Source organism: Homo sapiens, chromosome 19 (genome assembly GCF_000001405.40).
Source record: "Homo sapiens chromosome 19, GRCh38.p14 Primary Assembly".
Lineage (NCBI taxonomy): Eukaryota > Metazoa > Chordata > Mammalia > Primates > Hominidae > Homo > Homo sapiens.
This window is the reverse complement of record NC_000019.10, coordinates 48,133,634-48,158,305: the sequence shown is the minus strand read 5'-3', so window position 1 is coordinate 48,158,305 and position 24,672 is coordinate 48,133,634. Positions and strand designations below refer to the sequence as shown.

Here is a 24,672-nt window from a genome sequence, read left to right as displayed (position 1 = left end):
TGCCAACAGGAAGAGGAGGGCACCCCACTCAACATTAAGTGGATGTTATTTGAACCAGGAAATGCATGTTAGTCCATTTTGCATTGCTATAAAGGAATACTTCAGACCAGTTAATTTATAAAGAAAAGAGGTTTATTTTGGCCCACGGTCCTGCAGGCTATACAAGAAGTATAGTGCCAGCATCTGCTTCTGGTGAGAGCCTCAGGATGCTTCCAGTCATGGTGGAAGGTGAAGGAGGAGCAGGTGTGTCACATGGCAAGAGAGGAATTTTAAACAACCAGCTCTCATGTGAACCAGGAGAGGAAGAACTCGGTTCCTACCACAAGGAGGGTACAAGCCATTCATGAGGGATCTGCCCACGTGACCTGAATGCCTCCCGCCAGGTCATACCTCCAACATTGGAGACCAAATTGCAACATGCGATCTGGAGGGAACAAACATCTAAACTGTATGGAGAGAAGGCTGGGCACGGGGGCTCACGCCTGTATTCTCAGTGCTCTGGAGGCCAAGGCGGGAGGATCGCTTGAGCTCAGGAGTTCGAGACCAGCCTGGCCAACGTGGTGAAGCCCCATCTCTATAAAAAAAATACAAAAATTAGCTGGGCGTGGTGGCGGGCGCCTGTTATCCCAGTTGCTCGGGAGGCTGAGGCAGGAGAATTGCTTGAACCTGGGAGGCAGAGGTTGCAGTGAGCCGAGATCGCGCCACTGCACTCCAGCCTGGGCGACAGAATGACACCCTGTCTCAATAAATAAATAAATAAAAATAAAACTATACGAAGAGGTGTACATCATTTCCCCTGACATCCCATTGTGTAGAGCTGGCCAACATAGTGAAACCCCGTCTCTACTAAAAATACAAAAATTAGCCAGGCATGGTAGTGCAGGCCTGTAGTCCCAGCTACTTGGGAGGCTGAAGCAGGAGAATCGAAGATTCTGTTACTGTAGAAAACAGAAGAGCTATGGGGGTCCTTGATGGGACCATGATCCTGCACTGGAGGGCGGGATGATGGCCCAGGTGAGAAGAGGCCACCCCTGAGTTAGGGCTGAGACCATAGGGTCAGAAAGGAGGGTAGACAGAGAGGTTTCAGTCCCCTCTACTCTCAACTTTTGGAAAATGGAGTCCCTCCTTCCCCCGCTCACTCTAGAACTGTTCTTTCCTCTTCCAGAAGCCTGCCCTGGACTGCTCACAGGTCTCCCCGCCCCGTCCTGCCACATCTCCTGAGAACAATGCTTCCCTCTCTGACACCTCTCCCATGGACAGTTCCCCATCAGGGATTCCGAAGCGTCGCACAGGTGAGAACACACGGGCCCCTGCCCCTTCAGTCGCCTGCCTTTCTTTTTCTCTTTTTTTTTTTTTTTTTTTTTTTTGAGACATAGTCTCGCTCTGTTGCCTAGGCTGGAGTGCAGTGGCATGATCTCGGCTCACTGACCTCCGCCTCCCGGGTTCAAACGATTCTCCTGCCTTAGCCTCCTGAGTAGCTGGGACTACAGGAGCCCGCCACCATGCCTGGCTAATTTTTGTATTTTTAGTAGAGACGGGGTTTCACTATGTTGGCCAGGCTGGTCTCAAACTCCTGACCTCGTGATCCGCCTGCCTCAGCCTCCCAAAGTGCTGGGATTACAGGCGTGAGCCACCGCACCCAGCCAGTCGCCTGCCTTTCTCCCCACTTGGATTCCCATCCAAGGTAGTCATCCTTACAACAGCTCTGGTCTTAGTGTTGTGGTTAAGAGCACGGGTCCACCATCCACTGGCTGTATGACCTGGGACAAATGACTGACCTTCTCTGAGCTTAGGTTGCTTTATCTGTAGAGATGATGATAATGATAGCACCTACCGCACAGAAATATCTGAGTTAGAAGATAACACGTGTACGCTGCTCAGAACTGGGCCCAGCCCTCAGTCGGGGCTCAGTCATTGTGGGTCATTGTGACTGTAGTTATGCGCTGAGATGGAGGCCTCACAGCTCATGTGGGAACACAAGCGCGGGGCCATGGCTCAAGGGAGACTTCCAGAAGAGAGGCTAACCAAGCTGAGCCCTTTAGGACAAAGAAGAGGCAACAAGCAAAGGAGGAGGGGAGCATGCTAGGCAAGGGGAACATAGAAATTGAGAAGGCCTGGGGGCTGCTGAGGGCCTGGTGTGCTGGCGTGTAGAGCGCAGGATTGGGGATGGTGAGCAATGAGGTGAGAAGGTCCTGGAAAACCAGCTTGGGGAACAGCGTCTTTGTCCTAAGGGGGACTTGGAATGTTTGCTGTGGGGTAAGAACAGGGCGAGAGACCCATTCGTAATGCGGGGCAGTGTGAGCCCTTGCCGTCCGGTCTAGCCTATTGAGCGCTTTAGCGTGGTGAGTGTGACAGGGGAGCTGAATCTTTCATGTTAGATCCTTTCAGTTGAATTTACATTTGAAAGCTAATATGTGATTCAGTGCGTAAAGACTTTGCACTTTTTCCACATCATTTTGGAACAGCTTTGGTATGTGAATAGCTGTACATTTTATGAAACCTACACAGATCATGTTGCCGATGAAAATCTGGTGTCCAACTTGAGATGTGCAGTGAGTTCATTGGATTTTGAAGACCTAGCATGAAAACAGAATGTTGGAATCATACTGTTTTAGATGTATTGAGCAAAATAGACTCTTCAAACCAAGTTCAACCTGGTTTTTTCCCCCTTTTTATTAACGTGGCTGCAAGAAAGTTTAAGGTTACATACGTGGCTTGCCAGATCTTTCCATCGGACGATGCTGGGTGACGCAGGGTACTCTGGGAGCTCAGAAGTCAAGCAGCCCAGGGGAGGTGATGGCTGAGCCGAGTCTTAGAAGATGGGTTGGGGTTGGCCATGTTGAGAAAGGACAGATGCATGCATTTCAGACAAGAAGGGCACGTGCAGAGGCCTCGAGATGGGAACAGCATGGGATGTTTGGGGCCTCTCATCTACTTCCTTGTTTCTGGAGAATCGGATGCGACCTGGGAAGCAGGGAGAGTTTGAGGATAGCACGTGGTGAGAGGTGAGCTAGAGAGGAGAGTGGGGGCTGGATCTCAAAAGGTCTTGCACTCCCAGCTAAGGAGCCTGGGCTTCGTGCTGTGGGTCCTGGGAGCCATGGAAGGGCTGTGAGGTGGGGAGGCAGGTTCATCCCTGAATGAAAGGTGGCCATAAGGAAGTCACAGTGTGGCTGAGGGCATGCTGGGAGCTCCAGGTGGACGCTGAGGTTGGCCCTGGGGGTGTGTCAGGGGATCTTGTTCAGAGGGAGCAACATTGAGCTATGTCCCAAACCTCACATGCTGAGGCCTGGAGGGGTGACACAGCTTGGTGTGTCTGGAAACACCCCAGTTTAGCAGTGATATAAAAGAAGGTGGAGTATGTGGTGTGGGAAGGGTTAGAAGGTCAGATGGAGAGAGATTAGGTAGGATCGGGGTAGACATCAAAAGACTTTATCCTGGATAAAGCAGAGAATGTGGAGTCATGGAAGGGTTTTGAGCAGGGAGAGACAGTGCCAGCCATGCTGATAGAAGGTCCCTCTGGGGCCACGTGAAGGAGCCACTGGGGGCCGGGAGACCGGGGACCAGGTGGCGCAATGGCCAACATGAGATATAACAGTGAAGATGGGTACAACTGCCTTTGTGTGAGCTCTTCATCATGGGTTAGTATCTGAGTTTAGAGGCTTTTAGAAGCAGGTTCTGAAGCTCTGAAACAGGGATTCAAGTGCAAGTGGTTTGTTTAGGAGGTGCAGGGAACAGAGGGTGATTCAGGACAGGGGAGCAGCCAACACAGGATGTGCTGTTGGGTCTGCTATGTGTTGGGCAGCTGGAGCTTAGTTTTGTGGGATTCTCTGGGGAACGGTGTAAATGCTCCAGAGTGACCCCCGAGATGCGAGGCAGCTGGGGTATTTATACACCAACTCCTGCCGATCGTGGGGTGAGGGCCTCTCCTGGGGCTAGTTTATTCCCTGCCACTTCCAGACTTCTGAGGTTCCGGGGAAGCTGTCTGGAACACTTGGAGGCAGTTAAGATCTGAGGGGAGCAGTGGGGAGCTCAGGGGACCTGCTGGAATCGGTACTGTGCCAAGTACATTACATCATTGTTTACTCGTGGGGATTATTTCTATTCTGCAGTCGTGAGAGAGCAAAGCACAGAGAAATTAAGTAACCTGCCCAAGGTCACACAGCCAGGAAGCAGGAGGGATTGAAGGGTGCGGCCTGCACTGGGGCAGTGACTGTGTGCAGGCAGAGAAGGGGAGAGGGCCCAGAGCCTTCCAGAGGCTACATCAGTGGGTGTGAGCTCTCCGGGATGGGAGCACACGAGCCAGCGAGGTCAGATACACCAAGCCCTTTGCCTCCCCAGCTCGGAAGCAGCTCCCGAAACGGACCATTCAGGAAGTCCTGGAAGAGCAGAGTGAGGACGAGGACAGAGAAGCCAAGAGGAAGAAGGAGGAGGAAGGTGAGCCCCCAGAAGGAGAGAAGTGTGTGTGTGTGTGTGTGTGTGTGTGTGAAGCCAAGAGGAAGGAGGAGGAGGAAGGTGAGCCCCCAGAAGGAGAGGTGTGTGTGTGTGTGTGTGTGTGTGTGTGTGTGTGAAGCCAAGAGGAAGGAGGAGGAGGAAGGTGAGCCCCCAGAAGGAGAGGTGTGTGTGTGTGTGTGTGTGTGTGTGTGTGTGTGTGTGTGTGTGTGTGTGTGTTTTGGATCTGCAAGGGCAGGGGCCTGAGAGCTCAGGATGTTTGGACCCTGCCGATTTGATGCCTGTGTCCAGGCATCCAGGAATTCCACCTACCAATATGGGAACTTTTGTTCTGAAAACATTGTGGGATATATTTGTTTGGACATCTTAATTTAGTAATAATTCAGGCACAGTTTCCCATTTTTATTTGCTATTTTTATATTTATTTAATGGAAACTATTTTTCCTCTAAATGATTTCCTTTTCCTTGTAAATTTTACCATAAAGTTGCAGTTCCCAAACATTCTTAGTTCACAGCACCCTTGATGTCTTAGTAATTTTTTTATGATGCTCCTAGGCCAATACCTTATCAGTTCTATTAAGTAGTTATGTCCAAACAACTATTAGATACTATACATACATTGGAAAAAAAGTAATATTTGTGCTTTTTTTTTTTTTTTTTTTTTGAGACAGTCTCACTGTGTCGCTCAGGCTACAGTGCAGTGGCACAGTTTGGGCTCACTGCAGTCTCCACCTCCCAGGCTCAAGCGATTCTCCCACCTCAGCTTCCCGAGTAGCTGGGATTACAGACACACCACCACGCCCAGCTAATTTTTGTATTTTTAGTAGAGACAGGGTTTCACTATGTTGACCAAGCTGGTCTCGAACTCCTGAGCTCACATGATCTGCCCACCTCGGCCTCACAAAGCCCTGGGATTACAGGCGTGAGCCACTGCGCCCAGCCTGTATTTTGTTCTTAAATAACCATAATTACTTGTGGGAAATGCCTTGGATACTCTGTAACATCTTAAACAGTGGAATTCAATTGAAAACTGCCAACGTCATTTCCTGTTCTATGTTGATTTTTGTACAGTACTTGATTTTTATAGCAGCAACCTATGAAAACCCAGCTTTGCAGAGATGCAATGTCATTGCAAGGAATGTGATTTAATACTGAAAACTGAAATACCTCGAACTAGTAGTTCACACACTGGCCAGCAGGTGTCGCTGGGTTTCCTTTGAAAAATCTAAAATATCTTGCAGCGCCCAGTGAGTTCCCTGCATGTTGGTGAACCCACCGAAAACAGCCATAAAGATCTGATCGATTGATCATCTGGGGCCTGCATGAGATTACACCAATTGCAGCCTTTAACGTCATTTGGTTTTTTGTTTCTGCAAACAAATAAAAGGTCCATTTTCCAGGGCAGATTTAAATTTGGTTAAGATCTGATTTCTTGGCCAGGTGCAGTGGCTCACGCCTGTACTCCCAGCAGTTTGGGAGGCCGAAGCGGGTGGATCACTTGAGGTCGGGAGTTGGAGACCAGCCTGGCCAACATGGTGAAACCCCATCCCTACCAAAATTATAAAAATTAGCTGGGTATGGTGGCATGCGCCTGTAGTCCCAGCTACTCAGGAGGCTGAGGCATGAGAATCCCTTGAAACTGGGAGGTGGAGGTTGCAGTGAGCCGAGATTGTGCCACTGCACTCTAGCCTGGGCGACAGAGGGAGACTGTGTCTCAAAAAAAAAAGATTTGATTTCTTATTGACAATTTTTAGTACAAATTTTATTGTAAACTACACTTTTAGCCACTGTCAGTGTCCAGTGAGGGGTGGCGGGGGTGGCCTCTTTCTACTAAGGCAGATTTTTCCCAAGTTGGTTTTTGTAGTTTGTATTGTGACCCTAGAGGTAAGATTTTTTTTTTAACTTTGAAGATTTTTATTTTTGTCTATAACAGGCTGTCATTTGCATTTTTAACCCTTTCAGATTCTATTTTGGGGTGAATAACACTAAAGGAATCATTGGTAAGGAAAGACACACCATTTATGTCTCGGCTACATAGGCAAACGGGCTGGACCCCCTCAAGGTCGCTGCCTTGCTTGGGGTTGACAAGGAGCAGGGTCTTACGTGGCCCACTGCTTTACAGGCACATTGGATTGGCACAAGATAGAACTGTAAGACCTGCACTTTGGGAGGCCAAGGCGGGTGGCTCACCTGAGGTCAGTAGTTCAAGACCAGCCTGGCCAACATGGTGAAATCCCATCTCTACTAAAAATACAAAAAAATAGCTGGATGTGGTGGTGGGCGCCTGTCATCCCAGCTACTCGGGAGGCTGAGGCAGGAGAATCGCATGAACCCAGGAGGCAGAGGTTGCAGTGAGCCAAGATCACACCATTGCACTCCAGCCTGGGCGGTAAGAACGAAACTCTGTCTCAAAAAAAAGAACAGATGACAGATGAGGGCAGACTGTCTCCAGAGTCAAAATGCCCTTGTAGGTTCAATGGGATTTTTTTGCCATCTGACCGTTCTGTCTATCGTCAGAAGAGGAGACCCCGAAAGAAAGCCTCACAGAGGCTGAAGTGGCCACAGAGAAGGAAGGAGAAGACGGGGACCAGCCCACCACGCCTCCCAAGCCCCTAAAGACCTCCAGTGAGTTTCTGGTCCTCTCCTCCGCCCTGCCCCACCTCCTGATTTTGGGGTCAGAAGTCTTTGGAGGATGATTAATTTAAACAAGGCATAGATTCTCAAACTTATTGCTTAAATGCCGAATCTAGAAGAATAATAGTTTTTATTACTCGGGTTTTTTTTTTTAATTATTATTTTTCCCCATGCATGTGGGAAAGGAGGAAAGAGCCAGCCATTCTTTAAAAAATCTTCCTAGGCCGGGTACGGTGCCTCACACCTGTAATCCTAGCTCTTTGGGAGGCTGAGGTGGGTGGACTACTTGAGCCCAGGAGTTCAAGACCAGCCTGGGCAACATGGCGAAACCCCATTTCTACCAAAAAAAATACAAAAATGACCTGGGTGTGGTGGCACGTACCTGTAGTTCCAGCTACTTGGGAGGCTGAGGTGGGAGGATCGCTTGAGCCCAGGAGGTGGAGGTTGCAGTGACCTATGGTCGCACCACTGCACTCCAGCCTTGGCCACAGAGCAAGAACTCCCCCGCCTCAGACAAAGTAAAAGATAAAAAGTATTCATAGCTTTCAGAAGTCATAGGTGTAAATTAAATGTTATTAATTAAGTTAGACAACCAAACTGAGTTACAGGATTTTAGAGGCTGAAGTTACCCTCTCAGGGTGGTCCAAGTGTCCATGAGGCCCCTGTGTTAGAAACAACACTTGCCGGGAGAATTTTAGGGATACAGAGTTGTATCTGATTTTCTGCAGCTGCTGGGAGGAGTGGGAATATTTTCTTCTCATGACGATGAGATTTCTTTTTACCACTATTCCTAAGTCTCCTATTTCAGGCCAAGTGCTAGAATTCCGCTAGTTAGCACTGAGGAGTAGACAGCAGGCCTGAGATCTCAGCTCAAAGCTAACAGAAAGGAAAAGGGTAGGTGTAGTTATATCTTCCATCTGCAGGGTCAGAATGATCTTGGGGGTAAAAAAAAAGAAAAAAAAAGTCTCAGGGTCAAAGAGTTTGCATCACCGTCTGAGCTCTCTCACCGCAGAAGCAGAGACCCCGACGGAAAGCGTTTCAGAGCCTGAGGTGGCCACGAAGCAGGAACTGCAGGAGGAGGAAGAGCAGACCAAGCCTCCCCGCAGAGCTCCCAAGACGCTCAGCAGCTTCTTCAGTGAGTTTCCCTTGCTCACCCCACCTCCCGGGGTTGTACAGGCAGGAGGCTGGTGAGCCTCTCTCCAGAGGCCTGAGATGCTGCGAAGACCCTTCTTCCTTTCCTGCTGGTTGGAAAGTCGGCCTTGTCTCTACCAGCCTGTCTCCCATCTCCCTGAGCACTGGGGTGGTGCTGGGTGCAGAATGGATGGGAGGTGGGGGCTACCGGAAGGAGAAAAGACCCACTGTTTTCTGTCTTCATTCCTAGCCCCCCGGAAGCCAGCAGTCAAAAAAGAAGTGAAGGAAGAGGAGCCAGGGGCTCCAGGAAAGGAGGGAGCTGCTGAGGGGTGAGTCAGTGTCCAGGTCTGGAAAGGTTCTTCGGGATGTGTTCCCTTCTCTGCATTCCGACAGCCCCACCCCCAGCTCAGGCTTCCTCCTCTTGCAGGACTTGGCAAACCTTTTCTATAAAGAGCCAGAGAGTAAATATTTTAGGCTTTATGGGACACATTTGGCCCCTGTTGCAAAACCATTCTTAGATCCCAGAACCTGTAGAAACGGTCCAGGGTCGGAGTTTGCTGACCGTGGCCCCAGCCACCCTCTGACCCTGCCTCCAGTCTTTCATCCTCAGTCTGATCCCCGTAGAGCCTGGGGGATCTTTCTAACACCCAGAGTTGACTCTGCCCCTCTAGGGTTCCCCAGAGCCGTCAGGAGAAAATCTAAGCCCATTTGGCCACTGGCTGCCACCTCCCTCTCTGGCCTCACTTCCTACCTCTCTGTTCCTCTGGCTCTGAACTCACCAGATTTTTTATTTTTGAGACAGAGTCTTGCTCTGTCGCCTAGCCTGCAGTGCAGTGGTGCTGTCTCAGCTCACCACAGCCTCCACCTCCCAGGTTCAAGCGATTCTCCCAGGTAGCTGGGATTACAGGTGCATGCCACCACACCCAGATAATTTTTGTATTTTCAGTAGAGACACAGTTTCACCGTATTGGTCAGGCTGGTCTTGAACTCCTAGCCTCAGGTGACCCACCCACCTCGGCCTCCCAAAGTGCTGGGATTACAGGCGTGAGCCAGTACACCTGGCCTGAACTCACCAGATTTAGTGTATGTGCTGGAAGCCTGCAGGCGCGTCTACTCTGCCTTAAAATTCACTGAACACCCCTTCTTTGCCAGCCCTGGGCGGCCCACGAGGATGAACCATAGAGAGCCGGCCGCCCTGCCCCAGCCCTCGTGATGTGCTTAGTGTGCTGGGGCTGTGGGACACTGAATAGGTTGTTAAGCAATTAATTGCTTCACTGTAATTTTGTTAATTATTTGAAGAGATGTCTGGGCTGATTCCCACGACATCTAACATGCACACAGGAGGCCGCACTGAAGACTGGCTGAATGGATGATTGGATGCGTGGGTGGATAAATATCCTATAAAGTAATGAGGTCACCCCCCCATCTCTGCCATGCTCAAAACCCATCTGCGATTCTCCCCAGCATAGAGGATATGCTGGGCTTCCCAGTGCCCTCATGAGCCAGCCCTGTCCACCTTACATTGCAGCCTCCTGGCATCTGCAGCCTTTTCCTGCTCCCTCTGCACACCATGTCCCCACGTGCTGTCATTCCTCCCTGCTTTTTTTTTTTTTTTTTGAGATGGAATCTCACTCTGTTGCCCAGGCTGGAGTGCAGTGGCACGATCTCAGCTCATTGCACCTTCAACTTCCCAGGTTCAAGCGATTCTTCTGCCTCCACATCCCAAGTAGCCAGAATTACAGGTGCCTCGCCACCAAGCCTGGCTAATTTTTGTATTTTTAGTAGAGACCGGGTTTCACCATGTTGGCCAGGCTGGTCTCGAACTCCTAATCTCAGGTGTTCTGGCCGCCTCAGCCTCTCAAAGTGCTGGGATTACAGGCGTGAGCCACCACACCCAGCCTCCTCCCTGCTTCTGAACATGCTTGACCCCGGCCTACAACACTGTCCCTAACCCACCCTGCCCAGCAGGCTTCCCTCAGGCCCCAACTCCTATTGCACCTGCTTAGGGAAGCCGGGTGCCTCTCCCTTCATGTGTGAGAGGAGGTGCGTGTCCCCAGCACTTGAGTCAGACTGTCTTTTATGTCTTGTCACATGGTAAAGAGCCTCCCTAACCAGACATAAGCTCCTTCCCACAGAGCCAGGGCTGTGGGAGGTCCCAGCCTTCTTAGTCTTCTTGCCTAGCTCCCAGCACTGGGGCTGGCCCCTAGGAAGCCCAGGAAATCTGCCATGAAAGAAATTTAAATGAGCACTTTCAGATTTTTTTTTTTCACTAGTCAATCATGGACTCATTTATTTACTCAGTAAGTATTTACAAAGGACTGATTACGTGTTAGCTACTGGATTTTAGGTGCCTGAGATCTGGTAGGAAACAAATCAGACAAAAATTCCTCTTTATAGAACTTAGGTTTTTTGGGTTTTTTGTTTTTTGTTTCTTGTTTTTTTTTTTAAAGACAGGGTCTTGCTCTGTTACCCAGGCTGGAGTGCAGTGGTGCTCCTGGGCTCGGGATCCTCCCACCTCAGCCTCTCAAGTAGCTGGAACTACAGGCATGTACCACCATGCCGGGCTAATTTTTGTTTACTTTTTGTAGAGATGGGGTCCTACTACATTGCCCAGGTCGAGCTCCTGGACTCAAGTGATCCTCCCACCTCAGCCTCCCAGAATGCTGGAATTACATGCATGAGCCACCACGGCCAGCCTGATTTCTTACATAATCATATATCCATCTGAAGTTATTTTTTTCCTCTAAAGATTGTGTTTTCAAATACAATGTGATGGTGTTAGCAGCGTGGACTTCATCCCCTCTTGAATTCTTGATGTCCTGAAAGCTAAAAAAAAATTAACGGAAAAGGGGTTTGGAATAATCCCTGCTGTTCAGCAGAAAGGACAGGTGGGTTAAAAAGTATGACGCAGTGAGTCCAAAATCTCTTTGATGTCACGCCTCTACAAATGAAACAGATAACGACAAGAAATTCTTTCAGCTTTAACATTTCATGATTACAGTTTAAGTCTAACAAAAAAGTGTTCGGAGGATTCTTGACATCAATTTTGTACCCCCAATTGAGACCTTATCAAGGAGGTTAAATAGCACGTTAACGTCCTCTCTGCAGTATTCCTGTGGAGGAAGGGAGCACTTTAGCCATTTTACACACATTGACATGATTAGCCCAGAGAGGTTAGGTCGGGCCTCGCCAGGTCACACAGGGAGGTGGGGGTAGGGCCAGGCCTGGGACCCTAAGGAATGTTTTTGATTCCTAGCAGTTATTTCTTCCCCATTGCCATATCGTGCCTCCTGAGTGTGTGTCCGTGTTTGTGTATTTATAAATATGTTTTCCAAATAAAATCAGTGTCCTACTGTATATAAAGTTCTGTTTTCTATTTCAAGTGATACTACGACTGCTTTTCTTTCTTTTGAGACGGAGTTTTGCTCTTGCTGCCCAGGCTGGAGTGCAGTGGCACGATTTCAGCTCACCGCGACCTCCACCTCCCGGGTTCAAGTGATTCTCCTGCCTCAGCCTCCCAGGTAGCTGGGATTACAGGCATGCGCCACCATGCCCGGCTACTTTTGTATTTTTAATAGAGACAGACACTTTTTTGTTAGACTTAAACTTTAATCATGAAATGTTAAAGCTGAAAGAATTTCTTGTCGTTATCTGTTTCATTTGTAGAGGCATGACATCAAAGAGATTTTGGACTCACTGCGTCATACTTTTTAACCCACCTGTCCTTTCTGCTGAACAGCAGGGATTATTCCAAACCCCTTTAATTTCTCCATGTTGGCCAGGTTGGTCTCAAACTCCCGACCTCAGTGATCTGCCTGCCTCGGCCTCCCAAAGTGCTGGGATTACAGGCGTGAGCCACCACGCCAGGCATGACTGCTTTTCTTGCACCATTCCTAGCCTGGTCACTTCCCCTCTGTCTCCAATGGCTGCCTCCAAGAGACAGGCAAACTTTCCCACTCTCCAATTTCCTCACCTCTCAGATGGGGGCACAGTGATGAGAGGAAGCATGTTCTTCCACCCACTCTTCCCCACGTGCCAGGCACTCAGCAACGGGCTTTCCCTGACGCAATGCTCCAAATCCTCACAACACTGCTGGGAGTAGATTCTGTTGTTATCCTGGTTTCCTGGGTGAGAAAAGTAAAGCGGGGAGGTGGGACAGTATTGAGGACTGGCTAGGAATCCCAGCTCCACCTCTCTCAGCTGTGTGACCTTGAGGAAGTGACTTAGCCTTTCTGTGTCTCTCTTCTGAGGATGTGAAACACTTAGCCCAGGGTCTGGCCTTGATTATGACCAGCATGTTGTCACGGTAACTGCTGCTACTATTCTTATTTGTTTTTAATGCCATGCTCAGGCCACACAGGTGGGGAGTGGCAGCATTGTGGTTCTAGCCAGGCTGACTGGCTCTAGACTCCCCTGCCCACCACACTCTGCTGCCTCATTGTAATGCCGGCCACCGCTTGTTAAACCCCAAGTTCATACCAAAGGCCATGCACAGCCCTGCAGTGGCACTATCTGTCTTGGCCATCCATGCCCTGTGTGAGCATCAGAATCAGCTGAAGAGCTGAAAAATATCCTGAGGTCTCTTTCTCCCCCCCAACCCTTGTCCCCATTTTGGTACAGATGTAGGCCTGGGGCTGGGGAGTCCTCATTGTTCCATGAAGTGCACCCAGGAGTGGGAACCCTCACTGTCATTTTTTATGTAACCTTCAGGACAACCTGTCATAGTAGGGACCCCTTAGCTCCCCAGACAGATGGAGATGCTGTGGTTCAGAGAGGGGAAGCTGCTTCCTCAGCAGGTACAGCTGGCCGGGGCAGAGCAGATTGGAACCCAGATGAGTCTGAATGCAGAGTTTGGCTGGGGTCAGTGTGAGCTACTTACGATATAAAGGTTGAGGCCGGGCGCAGTGGCTCATGCCTATAATCCCAGGACTTTGGGAGGTCGAGGTGGGAGGATCGCTTAAGTCCAGGAGTGAGACACCAGCGTGTGCAACACGGCAAAACCCCATCTCTACAAAGATCAGTCGGGCATGGTTGCTTGCACCTGTAGTCCTAGCTACTCAAGAAGCTGAGGTAGGAGAATCCCTTGAGCCCTGGAGGTTGAGGCTGCAGTGCGCATTGCTCCACTGCACTCTAGCCTGGGCGACAGTGAGACCCTGTCTCAAAAAAAAATAGAGGTTGGGAACTGTCTCTAGAGCTGCGCTGCTTACCAGCTGTGTGGCCATGGGTGAGTTAATCACTCTGTGCCCCAGTTTCCTTATCCGGAAAAGGAAGTTAGAAAGGTCCCTTCTGGCCAGGCACGGTGGCTCACGCCTATAATCCTAGCACTTTGGGAGGCCAAGGCAGGCAGATCATTTGAGGTCAGGAGTTCAAAATCAGCCTAGCGAACATGGTGAAACCTCGTCTCTTCTGAAAATACAAAAAAATCAGCCAGGTGTGGTCGTGTACGCCTGTAATCCCAGTTACTTGGGAGGCTGAGGCAGAAGAATCACTTGAAGCCAGGAGGCAGAGGTTGCAGCGAGCCGAGATCATGCCACTGCACTCCAGCCTGGGCAACAGAGTGAGACTCTGTCTCAAGAAAAAAGGAAAGGTCCCTTCCTCCCATGTCTGATTGTTAATCGATGTGGTGTTAGCATGGCACCTGGCACTTTGCGACACCCGGGACTATACGCACCTCCCTCTGTCCCAGCTCAGCTACGCAATCCCTTTTCTGTTTCTCAAGTTTGTCTGCACCTCAGCGCCTTTGCACACGCTATTCTCTCTGCCTGGAATGCTCGTCCCCTGCTGCCCACTGTGCTAACCCCTCCCTCATTCTGCCCAGATGTCTCCGGCCTTCCCTGACCACCCTGTGAAGCAGCACCCTCATCTCATCCTCTTCCTCTACTCGGCTTTCTTTTGTTTTCTGAAAGATTTTTTTAACACCTAAAATTAATGATGTGTTTATGTGGGGGCTTTTTGCCCACTTTCCTCTGACTCTCCTGCTGGAATGTGAGCTCCAGGTTAGCAAACTTTGTTTTCATCCAGCTCTGCACCGTGTGCCTTGAACAGAGCCTGGCACATCACAGTTGGAAGGAATGACTTTGCTTTGACCCAGGGCTCTATGCAATTCAATCTCCGTTTTGCCTCCGTAGACCCCTGGATCCATCTGGTTACAATCCTGCCAAGAACAACTATCATCCCGTGGAAGATGCCTGCTGGAAACCGGGCCAGAAGTGAGGTTTCTCCCTTTTCAGACTGTCCCCCTCCGGTCCCTGTTGCCACCGGAGGCTCTCTAAGCAGAGTCTTGGTTGGGAGAAATGGTCAAGTCTCTCCCTCCTGTGTTTTGGCGACAATCAGCAGCATTGAAAGGGACAGAGAGACAGCCCTGGGAAGTGAGCTCATGCATTTGGGTATTGGCAAGGGTGTCCCGAGGAGGCGTGAGGAAGCAAGGGTGCAGACGGGCAGCATGGTATAGCCTGCACCACTGTCACTCTTGCGTCTCTTTTCCTTCCCTAGGGTTCCTTACCTGGCTGTGGCCCGGACGTTTGAGAAGATCGAGGAGGTGTCTGCTCGGTAACTAATGAGGACTGCCTGGGTGGGGGGCGGGGTCGCTTCTGGGTCTGTCCTCTGCATGGCGGTCTGTGCTGCCTTGTTCCGCCAAACCCTGTCAACTTGGCCTCTGACCCCGCTCGGGCGTATGATCATGGATGTCAGACATGGTCACAAAAGCGGCTGCAGGTCCTCTTGACTTTCTGCCTCATTCTCATGGTCAGAGCAAGACACAAGGGGCGAGCCCAGATGTGCAGGGTAAGGAGACAGGCTCCATCTCGGGATGACTGGCACCATTGCACACAGTCCGTGATTACTTCTAGTCCACCCTGAGTCATCAAAAGTGACTTCAGTCTTGCTTACATGTCTCCATATTCACAAAAGAAGGTGAGGTCTCAGTTATAGCGAGGACCCCCTACTCATTCACAGAGGTTCCCTGCAGAGCGTCCCACCCCAGTGATGCCCAGTGCATAGCACTGCCCCACCCTGGTCCTTCTCAGCAGCATGTTAGCATCGCTGGTCCCTGCCAGCCCCCTTCTCTGTCCCCATTTCCTCTTCTCTCCTTGTCCTCCTCACCCCCAGCACTCGCCCCTGTGTATTTAGTTTATATAAATATTATCATGGAGGCTGGGTGCAGTGGCTCATGCCTTAATTCCAGCACATCGGGAGGCCAAGGTGGGTGGATCACCTGAGGTCAGGAGTTCAAGACCAGCCTGGCCAACATGGTGAAACCCCATCTCTACTAAAAACACAAAATTAGCCCAGCATGGTGGCGGGTGCCTGTAATCCCGGCTACTCAGGAGGCTGAGGTACGAGAATCACTTGAACCCAGGAGGCAGAGATTGCAGTGAGCCGAGATCACGCTATTACACTCCAGCCTGGGTGACAGAGTGAGACTCTGTCTCAAAAACAAACAAACAAAATTATCATGGGTACGGCTCATTCTGCTTGCCTTCACTATCAAACCCGTTTCCACATGTGTCCATGTTGGTTGAGTGGTTCGAGCCTGTTGTGACTGCTCTGTAGTGTCCCTTCGTTCTCACATGGCACATGCCATTTCTCAGTTCCCCAACATGAGTGGAGCATTTCAGGCTGTTCCCAGCACTCTGTTTTTTTTTTTTTTTGAGATGGAGTCTTGCTCTGTTGCCCAGGCTGGAGTGCAGTGGCGCAATCTCGGCTCACTTGCAGCTCCGCCTCCCAGGTTCACACCATTCTCCTGCCTCAGCCTCCCGAGTAGCTGGGACTACAGGCACCTGCCACCATGCCCAACTAATTTTTTGTGTGTGTGTTTTTAGTAGAGATGGGGTTTCACTGTGTTAGCCAGGAAGATCTTGATCTCCTGACCTCGTGATCCGCCCACCTCCGCCTCCCAAAGTGCTGGGATTACAGGTGTGAGCCACCGCGCCCGGCCCTAATTTTGTATTTGTAATAGAGATGGGGTTTCACTATGTTGGCCAGGCTGGTCTTGAACTCCTGACCTCAAGTGATCGGCCCGCCTCGGCCTCCCAAAATGCTGGGATTACAGGCCTGAGCCACCACACCCGGCCCTCTTCTGTATTTTGTAAGGATGCTTTTTGGATTCAGAGCCTACCTTCATTCACTATGCTCTCATCTTAATCTACAGGTACATCCGCAAAGACCTTCTTTCCAAATGAGGTCATGTTGTGAGGCTCTGAGTGGACCTGAATTTTGGGGGGGCTGTTCCATCCACTGCACCATCCAATGGTGGCTTTTGCCTACAATGATTACTGAGGGATTTCCCTGATGTTGGTTTTTGTATTTCTTCTCTGCACCTTAAAAACCTCGGTAATGAGACTTCTGTAGGAAAAACCCAGCTTCTGTTTCTAATGAGGCCCCCTAAGTTTTTCAGTAACAAAGCCATTCTTTCCAGCTTTGAAGTTTTAGACAGAAACACGGTTTTCGTTTTAGAGGTGGTGCAGCTTGGTGGCTGGGAGCACAGTCCTCAGGCACACGGCCTTGGTGTACATCTCAGCTTCATACTTACTCGCTCTGTGACCTTGGGCAAGCCACGGACTCTTTCGGTGCCTCTGTTTCTTTATCCGTAAAATGGAAATAATAATGGTACCTACCTCAGAGGGGAGCTGTGAAGATTCTATGAGTTAAAAGGTGCAAAGGGCTGGCCGTGTTGGCTCACGCCTGTAATCCCAGCACTTTGGGAGGCCGAGGCGGGCGGATCATTTGAGGTCAGGAGTTCGAGACCAGCCTGACCAACACGTTGAAACCCCGTCTCTACTAAAAATTAAAAAAAATTAGCCGGGCATGGTGGTGCGCACCGGTAGTCCCGGCTACTCCGGAGGAGAATCACCTGAACCCACAAGGTGGAGGTTGCAGCGAGCCGAGATCGTGCCACTGCACTCTACCTTGGGCGATGGAGCGAGACTCCGTCTCAAAAAAAAGGTGCAAAGTGCTCAAAGCCAGCTCCTGAATTTAGAAAATGCTCCGTAGCATCAGCTGTCGTTTCTCTGGGCTGATCATCACCATCTTCATCATTGTTACCGTCACACCAAGTTACTCCCCCACTGTAACCGTCCGGTGGGTTCACCTTGCCCGCTGCCTAGACAGAGCCGATTTATCTAGACGGGGGAACTGCAGTGGAGAAAGAGTCATTCCCGCAGAGCTGGCTGTGCGGGAGACCGGAGTTTCATTTTTACTCAAATCAGTCTCCCTGAGCATGTGGGGAGCAGAGTTTTTAAAGATAATTTGGCGTGTAGGGGCTTGGTAAGTGGGGAGTGCTGATTGGTCAGGTTGAAGATGGACTCACAGGGGGTCGAAGGGAGGTTTTCTTGCTGTCTTCTGTTCCTGGGTGGGATGGCAGAACTTGTTGAGCCAGATTACAGTCTGGGTGGCGTCAGACTGAGTGCAGGGTCTGCAAACTATCTTAAGCACTCATCTTAGGTTTTACAGTAGTGATGTTATCCCCAGGAGCAATCGGGGAAGCCAGAGGCTGCGTGACCCCTAAACCTAAATTTCTAATCTTGTAGCTAATTTGTGAGTCTTGCGAAGGCAGGTCCTTAGGCAAAAAGGGGTCTTTTCCAGAAAGGGCTATTACCAATTTCGTTTCAGAGTCAAGCCACGAACCAAATTCCTTCCCAAAGTTAGTTCTGCCTATGCCCAGGACTGAACAAGGACAGCTTAAAGGTTAGAAGCAAGATGGAATCGGTTAGGTGTGATTTCTTTCCACTGTCATAATTTCCTCAGTTACGGTTTTGCAAAGGCGGTTTCACCTCCAGCAATCTGTGATTGTCCTCATGGCTCCAGGCCCCAGAGCCTGGGACTGTTCTGAGCCCTTTCCTCTTCTTTCTCCATTTCTTTCTAGTGTCCACCCCCTTAAACCCACCCCACCCCGACACCACACTTTGACCTTGAGGAACCACGTGTTCATACCCCCGTCCCCTCCTCCAGGCTCCGGATGGTGGAGACGCTGAGCAACTTGCTGCGCTCCGTGGTGGCCCTGTCGCCTCCAGACCTCCTCCCTGTCCTCTACCTCAGCCTCAACCACCTTGGGCCACCCCAGCAGGGCCTGGAGCTTGGCGTGGGTGATGGTGTCCTTCTCAAGGCAGTGGCCCAGGCCACAGGTAAGGGGGACTGTGGTTGGAGGGACCAGAAGGACAGGAGCTCAGCCAGAGAAAATGCAGAGGTCAGGTGGATCGGAGAGATGGTGGAGAGAGGCTGTGAAACAGGGTTGAGGAGAAGGCTGAGAGGGAGGAGAGCCTGATGGGGACAGATTTGCAGGGGTGTGGGAGAGAACACAGGGGCAGCAGTTCAGGTGAGGGAGGACCAGGCATGTGCTGGGACAGGGGGTGTGGGGTGCAGGGAAGGGGAGGGCTGGGGAAAGATGCTGGAGGCAGAGACAGCAGGATTTGGGGGCTGAGATGGAAGGTTGGGGCTTAGAGAGGTCTGAAAGGACTTTGACTGGAGGGATTGGAAGGAGTGGGAGGAAAGAACATGGTGTGTGGGGGGCCAGCAGCCTGAAGGGGCCCAGCCGCCAGTGCTGGGTGGAAAGGCTGGTGATGCGGATGGCCCGCCTGCCAAGGGCCTGGAGTGCTCGGTGCTTATCATGAGGACACTGGGGAGCCATGGAAGGATTGTGAGCAGGCAAGGGGCAGCATCCAGGGGGAAGAGGAGCTGGACCCCAGCTGTAGAGAAGAGAGAAGAGGGCAGGAGAGATCTGGCAGACAGTGGATGTCAGGGTGAGGAGGCAGGAGGAATGCCTCCAGGATCTCCCTGGGTGACTGGATGGATGACAAAGCCGTCGGCAGCTTGGGACCCTGGTGAGGGGCAGGCACCTGCAGGGGGCATTAATCACCCCAGCGTGGGGCAGGCATGAGCAACCTCTATCTGTGGGCCCCCAGGGCCATCCAGGAAGTTTGGAAACGGGTCTGAGGCTCACCAGGTCTGGCTCAGAGCCCAGGGTTCGGGCTGGTCAGTGTAGGAGGGATGACCACCCACTGGTGGGTTCTCATCCGCCTGGGGAGAGGATGTGCTGGGAGCACTGGAGCTGGCTTAGGGCCATGGGCACCAACATTTAGGGAAGGCAGGGGTTTCAGGCTTTCATGAGAGGACAGAGGGACTGAGAAAGGTTGACTTGGATCAGGAAAGAGTTACGGGCTTATGGGAGCCAGAGGAGATGAGACTCAAGATTTTCTCACTCATTCACTCAAGATGTGTTTCGGGAGCACTGACGTCATACCAGACCCAGCACACACGGGGTCGGTTAAGAATACTCTGAGCTGCAGGTAACAGAAAACCCAACTACATTGGCTTGGACAAAGAAGGATCTGTTTTTCTCACAAAAGAAGTTGCAGATGCTGGCTTTCCTGCCCAACAATCCATGGCAGCTGGGGCCTCTTCCACTGTCTCATGCCTCCACCCTTGATGGGTCGTGTTCACACTCACACTGCTCTCCGTGCCGCCTTGTGGCCCCCGTGGCTGTCCAAGTCCCGGGTTTGTTGTGAGTTGTTGGCCACTTTGGAGAATCCCGTCCCCTTTGATGTGTGATTCGATAACATCCCATTGGTGAGGCTCACACTGTCGGCTCTCCCATTTGTGGCAGTTTCGCTTCAGGCGCGAGGCCCACCTTCATGTGCTCTGTGCCGCGGCTGAGCATCTGTGGACTGAAACGCGCACTTGTTCGTTCATTACGGATTGCTTTCCCTTTCATTCTTTTCTGTGTTAGGGTTAGGGCGTTATCTCGATAGGTGTAGGCAGGTTATGTTATCTCCACATTTTATTTCAGACCAGAAAAGAGGTGACACACAGTATCTGGTGACAAGGGTGTGTTGGTTCTGATAGGTTGAGAGCTGCTTGTCACAGCTGTCACCGTGACTTGAGGCTCCATCTCCCCAGCTCTTACACCCAGGCGCCCATGGGACCCAGCTCTGGACAGTAAGTGGGGCCAGAGCACATCCCACGTGTGTAAGCTGGTGGCTCCAAAACAAGCCGAAGGGTCTTTGGTCACTGCCAGAGATGTTCATGACCCGCCAGAGGAAAGGGTCCCTTGGCCTTCTCTGCTCTGTCCACACTCACTTCCCTAGTGACCTTGTCCCGCCTGTGGCTTTAAATCCCATCCGCGCCCTGATGACACCGGCCCAGATGTCTCCCCTGAGTGTGGTCATGCTCGTTCATCCACCGCTTTCCTGGCTCCACGTGCATGTTTGCTGACTTCCTACAGCCAGCGTGGCTGGGGGCACGTTCCCCAAGCCATTTCTACCAAGTGGGTGAGCGTTAGACACAGGGAGGTGCAGGGACTCGCCACAAGCACACACAGCTGGAGAAAATTCATCCAGGCCGCGAGAGAAGGGAGACACGCAGCCACAACTGTCACCCTCGACACCCCCACCCGCGCTCTCCCCTGAAGGTCGGCAGCTGGAGTCCGTCCGGGCTGAGGCAGCCGAGAAAGGCGACGTGGGGCTGGTGGCCGAGAACAGCCGCAGCACCCAGAGGCTCATGCTGCCACCACCTCCGCTCACTGCCTCCGGGGTCTTCAGCAAGTTCCGCGACATCGCCAGGCTCACTGGCAGTGCTGTGAGTGGGGCGGGCCGCTCATCCCGGACCCCAGACATCTTGGGGACCTGAGGCCACGCGTGTGTCAGGAAGGCTTCTGGGTAGACCATCAGCTGGGTCGCATCAGTCCTTCTCATGGGGTGCACAGCTTCCTCTCCTCCTTCCTGCACCCAATCCTAGGGGAGTCTCCTCTTCAGAGTCTAGCAGACCTAATGCCATGGCTGCCACATGACAGGACTCAGTAAATACTTCCTGGATAAAGGGAGAGGGAGGCAAGGAGGAGAGCTAGCTCGTTCTTACTGCCCTAAGAGTGGGCGGCCATGGGAGCTGGGACATGGGGATGGGGTGAGGGAAGGAGGGCAGGTATTCCAAAATGCAGGGCAGCAGCACGGCTGGTGGGGTGGAGGTGTGGTCCCTGCCTTCACCAGGCACTGACGGCTCTTCCCCTGACTCTCCAGTCCACAGCCAAGAAGATAGACATCATCAAAGGCCTCTTTGTGGCCTGCCGCCACTCAGAAGCCCGGTTCATCGCTAGGTAAGCGTGTGGGCCTGTGAGGCTACAGAGGGGGACTGCAGGCTCGGAGGTGAAAGGAGGGAGGGACTGGCAGCTGGAATCATCACAAATGCCCTGACCATCCTTGGATGAGAAAAGCATGAGCAGGAGGCCCAGCCCCTAAAGAGTGGGAAGGGACACCATTTCCTTTCACAGGCCAGCTTCTGTCCCTTGGTAGTGCTGTCTAGAGAAGGCCCCTGGGCCCCTGTGGGTGAAGCATGCTGTGATTGATTGGTGAGGTCTGCCTCGGCTTGGGCGCGGGCCCTGCAGCAGGAAGCCAGGGTTTGTTTGCCATGACAGTGAGAGCAAATCCATTGAGGGCTCACATCATGGAGCATTTCTTGGGAGCCCTGCCCTGTGCCCCGTGCCTTACCTCATCAGTTCCTACCAGCAACTCTGTGAGACTGGTCTTGTTACCCTCACCTCCAGTTTATAGAAGGGGAAATGGAGACATGGGGAGGCAAACTAAGCCACTTGTCTCCTGCCACTGGCTCAAAGCAAGGACCATGCTGGGGTCCTGACCATTACAGTCACCAGGGCGGGCGCCAGGCTCAGTTCTCTCCCTGACTCATCCTCCTCAAGCCTCGCCAACCCCTCAGGGCAGCTGAGATGGGAGGTGCTGGTGCACCTACTTGTGCCCCTCCCCAGTCTATGCTAGTGGGCAGGATCATTACTGCCTGGCTCAGTTTCCTCATCTGTCACATGGGGCTGTGTGATATCTGGGGTCCCTTCCAGGCTCTGAAGATTCTTCTGGTTTTTGAGGAGAGGGTCTACATACATCAAGGTCGAGGAGATCAGAGAAGGGAGGAGGCAAGATTGGGGAGGTGCAGACAAGCCCCCTTCCCTGGCCTGCTCTCTCCCCAGGTCCCTGAGCGGACGGCTGCGCCTTGGGCTGGCAGAGCAGTCGGTGCTGGCTGCCCTCTCCCAGGCAGTGAGCCTCACGCCCCCGGGCCAAGGTGAGCTCCTGTGGCCCGTCTCTGCATCCCTCGCTGGAGTTACCTCAGGCTTCCCCCCTCCTCTTCAGAGGCCCATGCCCGCCCCTTCCCCAGCGGGCCCCTGCCATACCAGGCTCCTCTCTCCTGGGTGGGGGGGAGGGGGCGTCTTGGGCCGCGGCATCTGCATTCCTTGCCATACAGCAAACCACCCACTGCACCCTGGTGTAGCCAAGGATGTGGGTGCCTTCCAAAGCCTCTGGTGGGTCTTTTCTTAGAATTCCCACCAGCCATGGTGGATGCTGGGAAGGGCAAGACAGCAGAGGCCAGAAAGACGTGGCTGGAGGAGCAAGGCATGATCCTGAAGCAGACGTTCTGGTGAGAGCTGGGCAGTGGGTGGAGTTGCCAGGGGCTGTGGGCAGAGTGCCAGGGTGGGGGTGGAGCCAGAGGAGCAGTGGGTGGGGCCAGTGAAGTGACGGACAGGCATCACGAGTGCCGGTCACGGGGTGACTGAGAGCAGAGGTGGTGATCTAGACAAGGCTGGTGCTTGACACAAGGATGGTGACAAAGATCAGGAAGGTGGCAAACAGTGAAGGGTCAGTGACCCCAGGAGAGGTATAGAAAGACGCTGGCAGCGGCCAGGCACAGTGGCTCACGCCTGTAATCCCAGCACTTGGGAGCCTGAAGCAGGCAGATCACTTGAGGTCAGGAGTTTGAGACCAGCCTGGCCAACATGGTGAAACCCTGTCTCTACTAAAAATACAAAAATTAGCCTGTAATCCCAGCTACTTGGGAAACTGAGGCACAAGAATCATTTGAACCCAGGAGTTGGAGGCTGCAGTGAGCTGAGATCACGCCACTGCGTTCCAGCCTGGGCAACAGAGTGAGACTGTCTTAAAAAAAAGAAAGACGCTGACAGCAAGGGAGGGCAGCCGGCAACATGAGGTTTCTGAGTGCCAGACAGGGCTGTGCATGCAGAAAGGCCTTAAGGGACCCAGAGAGGAGCAGGTGACTGACACATGGTGAAGGGTCTTGACAGTCATGGAGAGGACATCCGTGGAGCGGCCACGAGGGCTCCAGAGAGAGCCATGTGGAGGGACCTAGGCCAGCAGCTGACCCAGGGCTGGTGACTCCAAGATCATGACTGCCCCAGAGAGGATGTCAGAGGCAGGAGGGCCGATGGCAGTTCCACAGATGGCCTCAGAGCACCTGCTCTGGGCCAGGGCCCCCCACTGGGTGCTGAGCAGAGAGTGGTGAACAGGCCCGGGCAGCAAGCTCAACTCTGCCTGCACGTGGGGCTCTATCAGCTGCTGACCTCAGGCCTACCCCACACCAGCTACATCAAAATCTTTGTAGGTGGAACCTAGCCTTGAAAACCTTTGTCTATTTTTATTTTGTTTGAGACGGAGTCTCGCCCTGTCATCCAGGCTGGAGTGCAGCAGCACAATCTCAGCTCACTGCAACTTCCGCCTCCAGGGTTCAAGTGATTCTCCTGCCTCAGTCTCCTGAGTAGCTGGGACTACAGGCGCGTGCCACCACCCCCAGCTAACTTTTATATTTTTAGTAAAGATGGGATTTCACCATGTTGGCTAGGCTGGTCTTGAACTCCTGGGCTCAAGTGATGCACCCACCTCGGCCTCCCAAAGTGCTGGGATTACATGCCTGTAGGCATGAGCCACCATGCCCGGCCAAAAACCTTTTTTTAAAAACTGTATTCTTGAGTGGTCTCCTGTGTAGCCGAGTAGAGAATCGCTGGTCTCGTGGTGACAGATAGGGAACAGGGGCAAGGCCAGACTAAGGGAGACAAAGCAACAGATAGTGACACGAAGGGAGAGCACAGAGACAGGGTGGCAAGAGGAGCTTGGCAGGTGGTGACTCAGTGGGCAGAGGCATCCAGGAGCCCAGGCTTCTGGGAGCAGGCCGAGCTCTCTTTCCAAACTGTGTGAGTTCTAGAAAGGCTTCCCCTATCTTGTTCTCACCCGCCACCCCAGCGAGGTTCCCGACCTGGACCGAATTATCCCCGTGCTGCTGGAGCACGGCCTGGAACGTCTCCCGGAGCACTGCAAGCTGAGCCCAGGTACAGGCCCCAGGGGCGCTCACCAGCCTGGCAGCAGCCCTGCTCCCTCCTGAGTCGGCGTGAGGGTGGCCATCGTAGGCGCCCCTCTCAGAACTTGCAGAGTCCTCTCCCCCACCAAAACCAAATGCTCCTCCCTGGTGCTGAAACCCACTGCTTTTCTCCTTGGAATTTCCCCTTGTGGAGTAGATAGGGTGTAGGTGACACTGCTGTGATAAACAGGAGCCGGGCGTGGTGGCGTGTGCCTGTGATCCCAGCTACTCGGGAGGCTGAGGTGGGAGGATCGCTTGAGCCCAGGAGTTCAAGGCTGCAGTGAGCCGTCATCGCGCTACTGCACTCCAGCTGGGCGA

The 24,672-nt window shown here is 52.3% G+C and overlaps 1 protein-coding gene and 1 long non-coding RNA gene across 15 annotated transcripts in view; one reads left to right on the top strand and one right to left on the bottom strand.

Annotated features, from left to right (window-relative positions):
• LIG1 (DNA ligase 1) overlaps nucleotides 1-24,672 on the top strand; it is a 54,900-nt gene that overhangs the window by 12,039 nt on the left and 18,189 nt on the right. For 4 of the 13 annotated variants that reach the window (NR_135499.2, NR_135497.2, NM_001320971.2 and 1 more), the window contains 13 exons: nucleotides 1,166-1,292; nucleotides 4,339-4,434; nucleotides 6,967-7,074; nucleotides 8,096-8,218; nucleotides 8,465-8,543; nucleotides 14,343-14,423; nucleotides 14,707-14,763; nucleotides 18,163-18,335; nucleotides 20,618-20,784; nucleotides 21,222-21,298; nucleotides 22,181-22,272; nucleotides 22,527-22,626; nucleotides 24,240-24,325. Coding sequence is in view for 7 of the 13 variants with exons in the window: in NM_001320971.2 (NP_001307900.1) it covers nucleotides 1,166-1,292; nucleotides 4,339-4,434; nucleotides 6,967-7,074; nucleotides 8,096-8,218; nucleotides 8,465-8,543; nucleotides 14,343-14,423; nucleotides 14,707-14,763; nucleotides 18,163-18,335; nucleotides 20,618-20,784; nucleotides 21,222-21,298; nucleotides 22,181-22,272; nucleotides 22,527-22,626; nucleotides 24,240-24,325 (1,366 nt within the window). In the remaining 6 variants the exon portion in view is untranslated. Of the gene's footprint in view, nucleotides 1-1,165; nucleotides 1,293-4,338; nucleotides 4,435-6,571; nucleotides 6,839-6,966; nucleotides 7,075-8,095; nucleotides 8,219-8,464; nucleotides 8,544-14,342; nucleotides 14,429-14,706; nucleotides 14,764-18,162; nucleotides 18,336-20,617; nucleotides 20,785-21,221; nucleotides 21,299-22,180; nucleotides 22,273-22,526; nucleotides 22,627-24,239; nucleotides 24,326-24,672 lie in introns of those variants that run through there. The other 9 variants (NR_110296.2, NM_001289063.2, NM_001320970.2 and 6 more) reach the window with 7 other exon arrangements.
• On the bottom strand, nucleotides 2,881-12,449 carry LIG1-AS1 (LIG1 antisense RNA 1). Of its 2 annotated transcripts, none has more exons than XR_007067281.1 (3): nucleotides 12,424-12,449; nucleotides 12,188-12,338; nucleotides 2,881-2,964 (listed from the first exon to the last, which is right to left on the bottom strand). It is a non-coding gene; the product is annotated as an LIG1 antisense RNA 1 (long non-coding RNA). The 2 variants fall into 2 exon arrangements; XR_007067280.1 differs by lacking the exon at nucleotides 2,881-2,964 and adding an exon at nucleotides 10,895-11,040.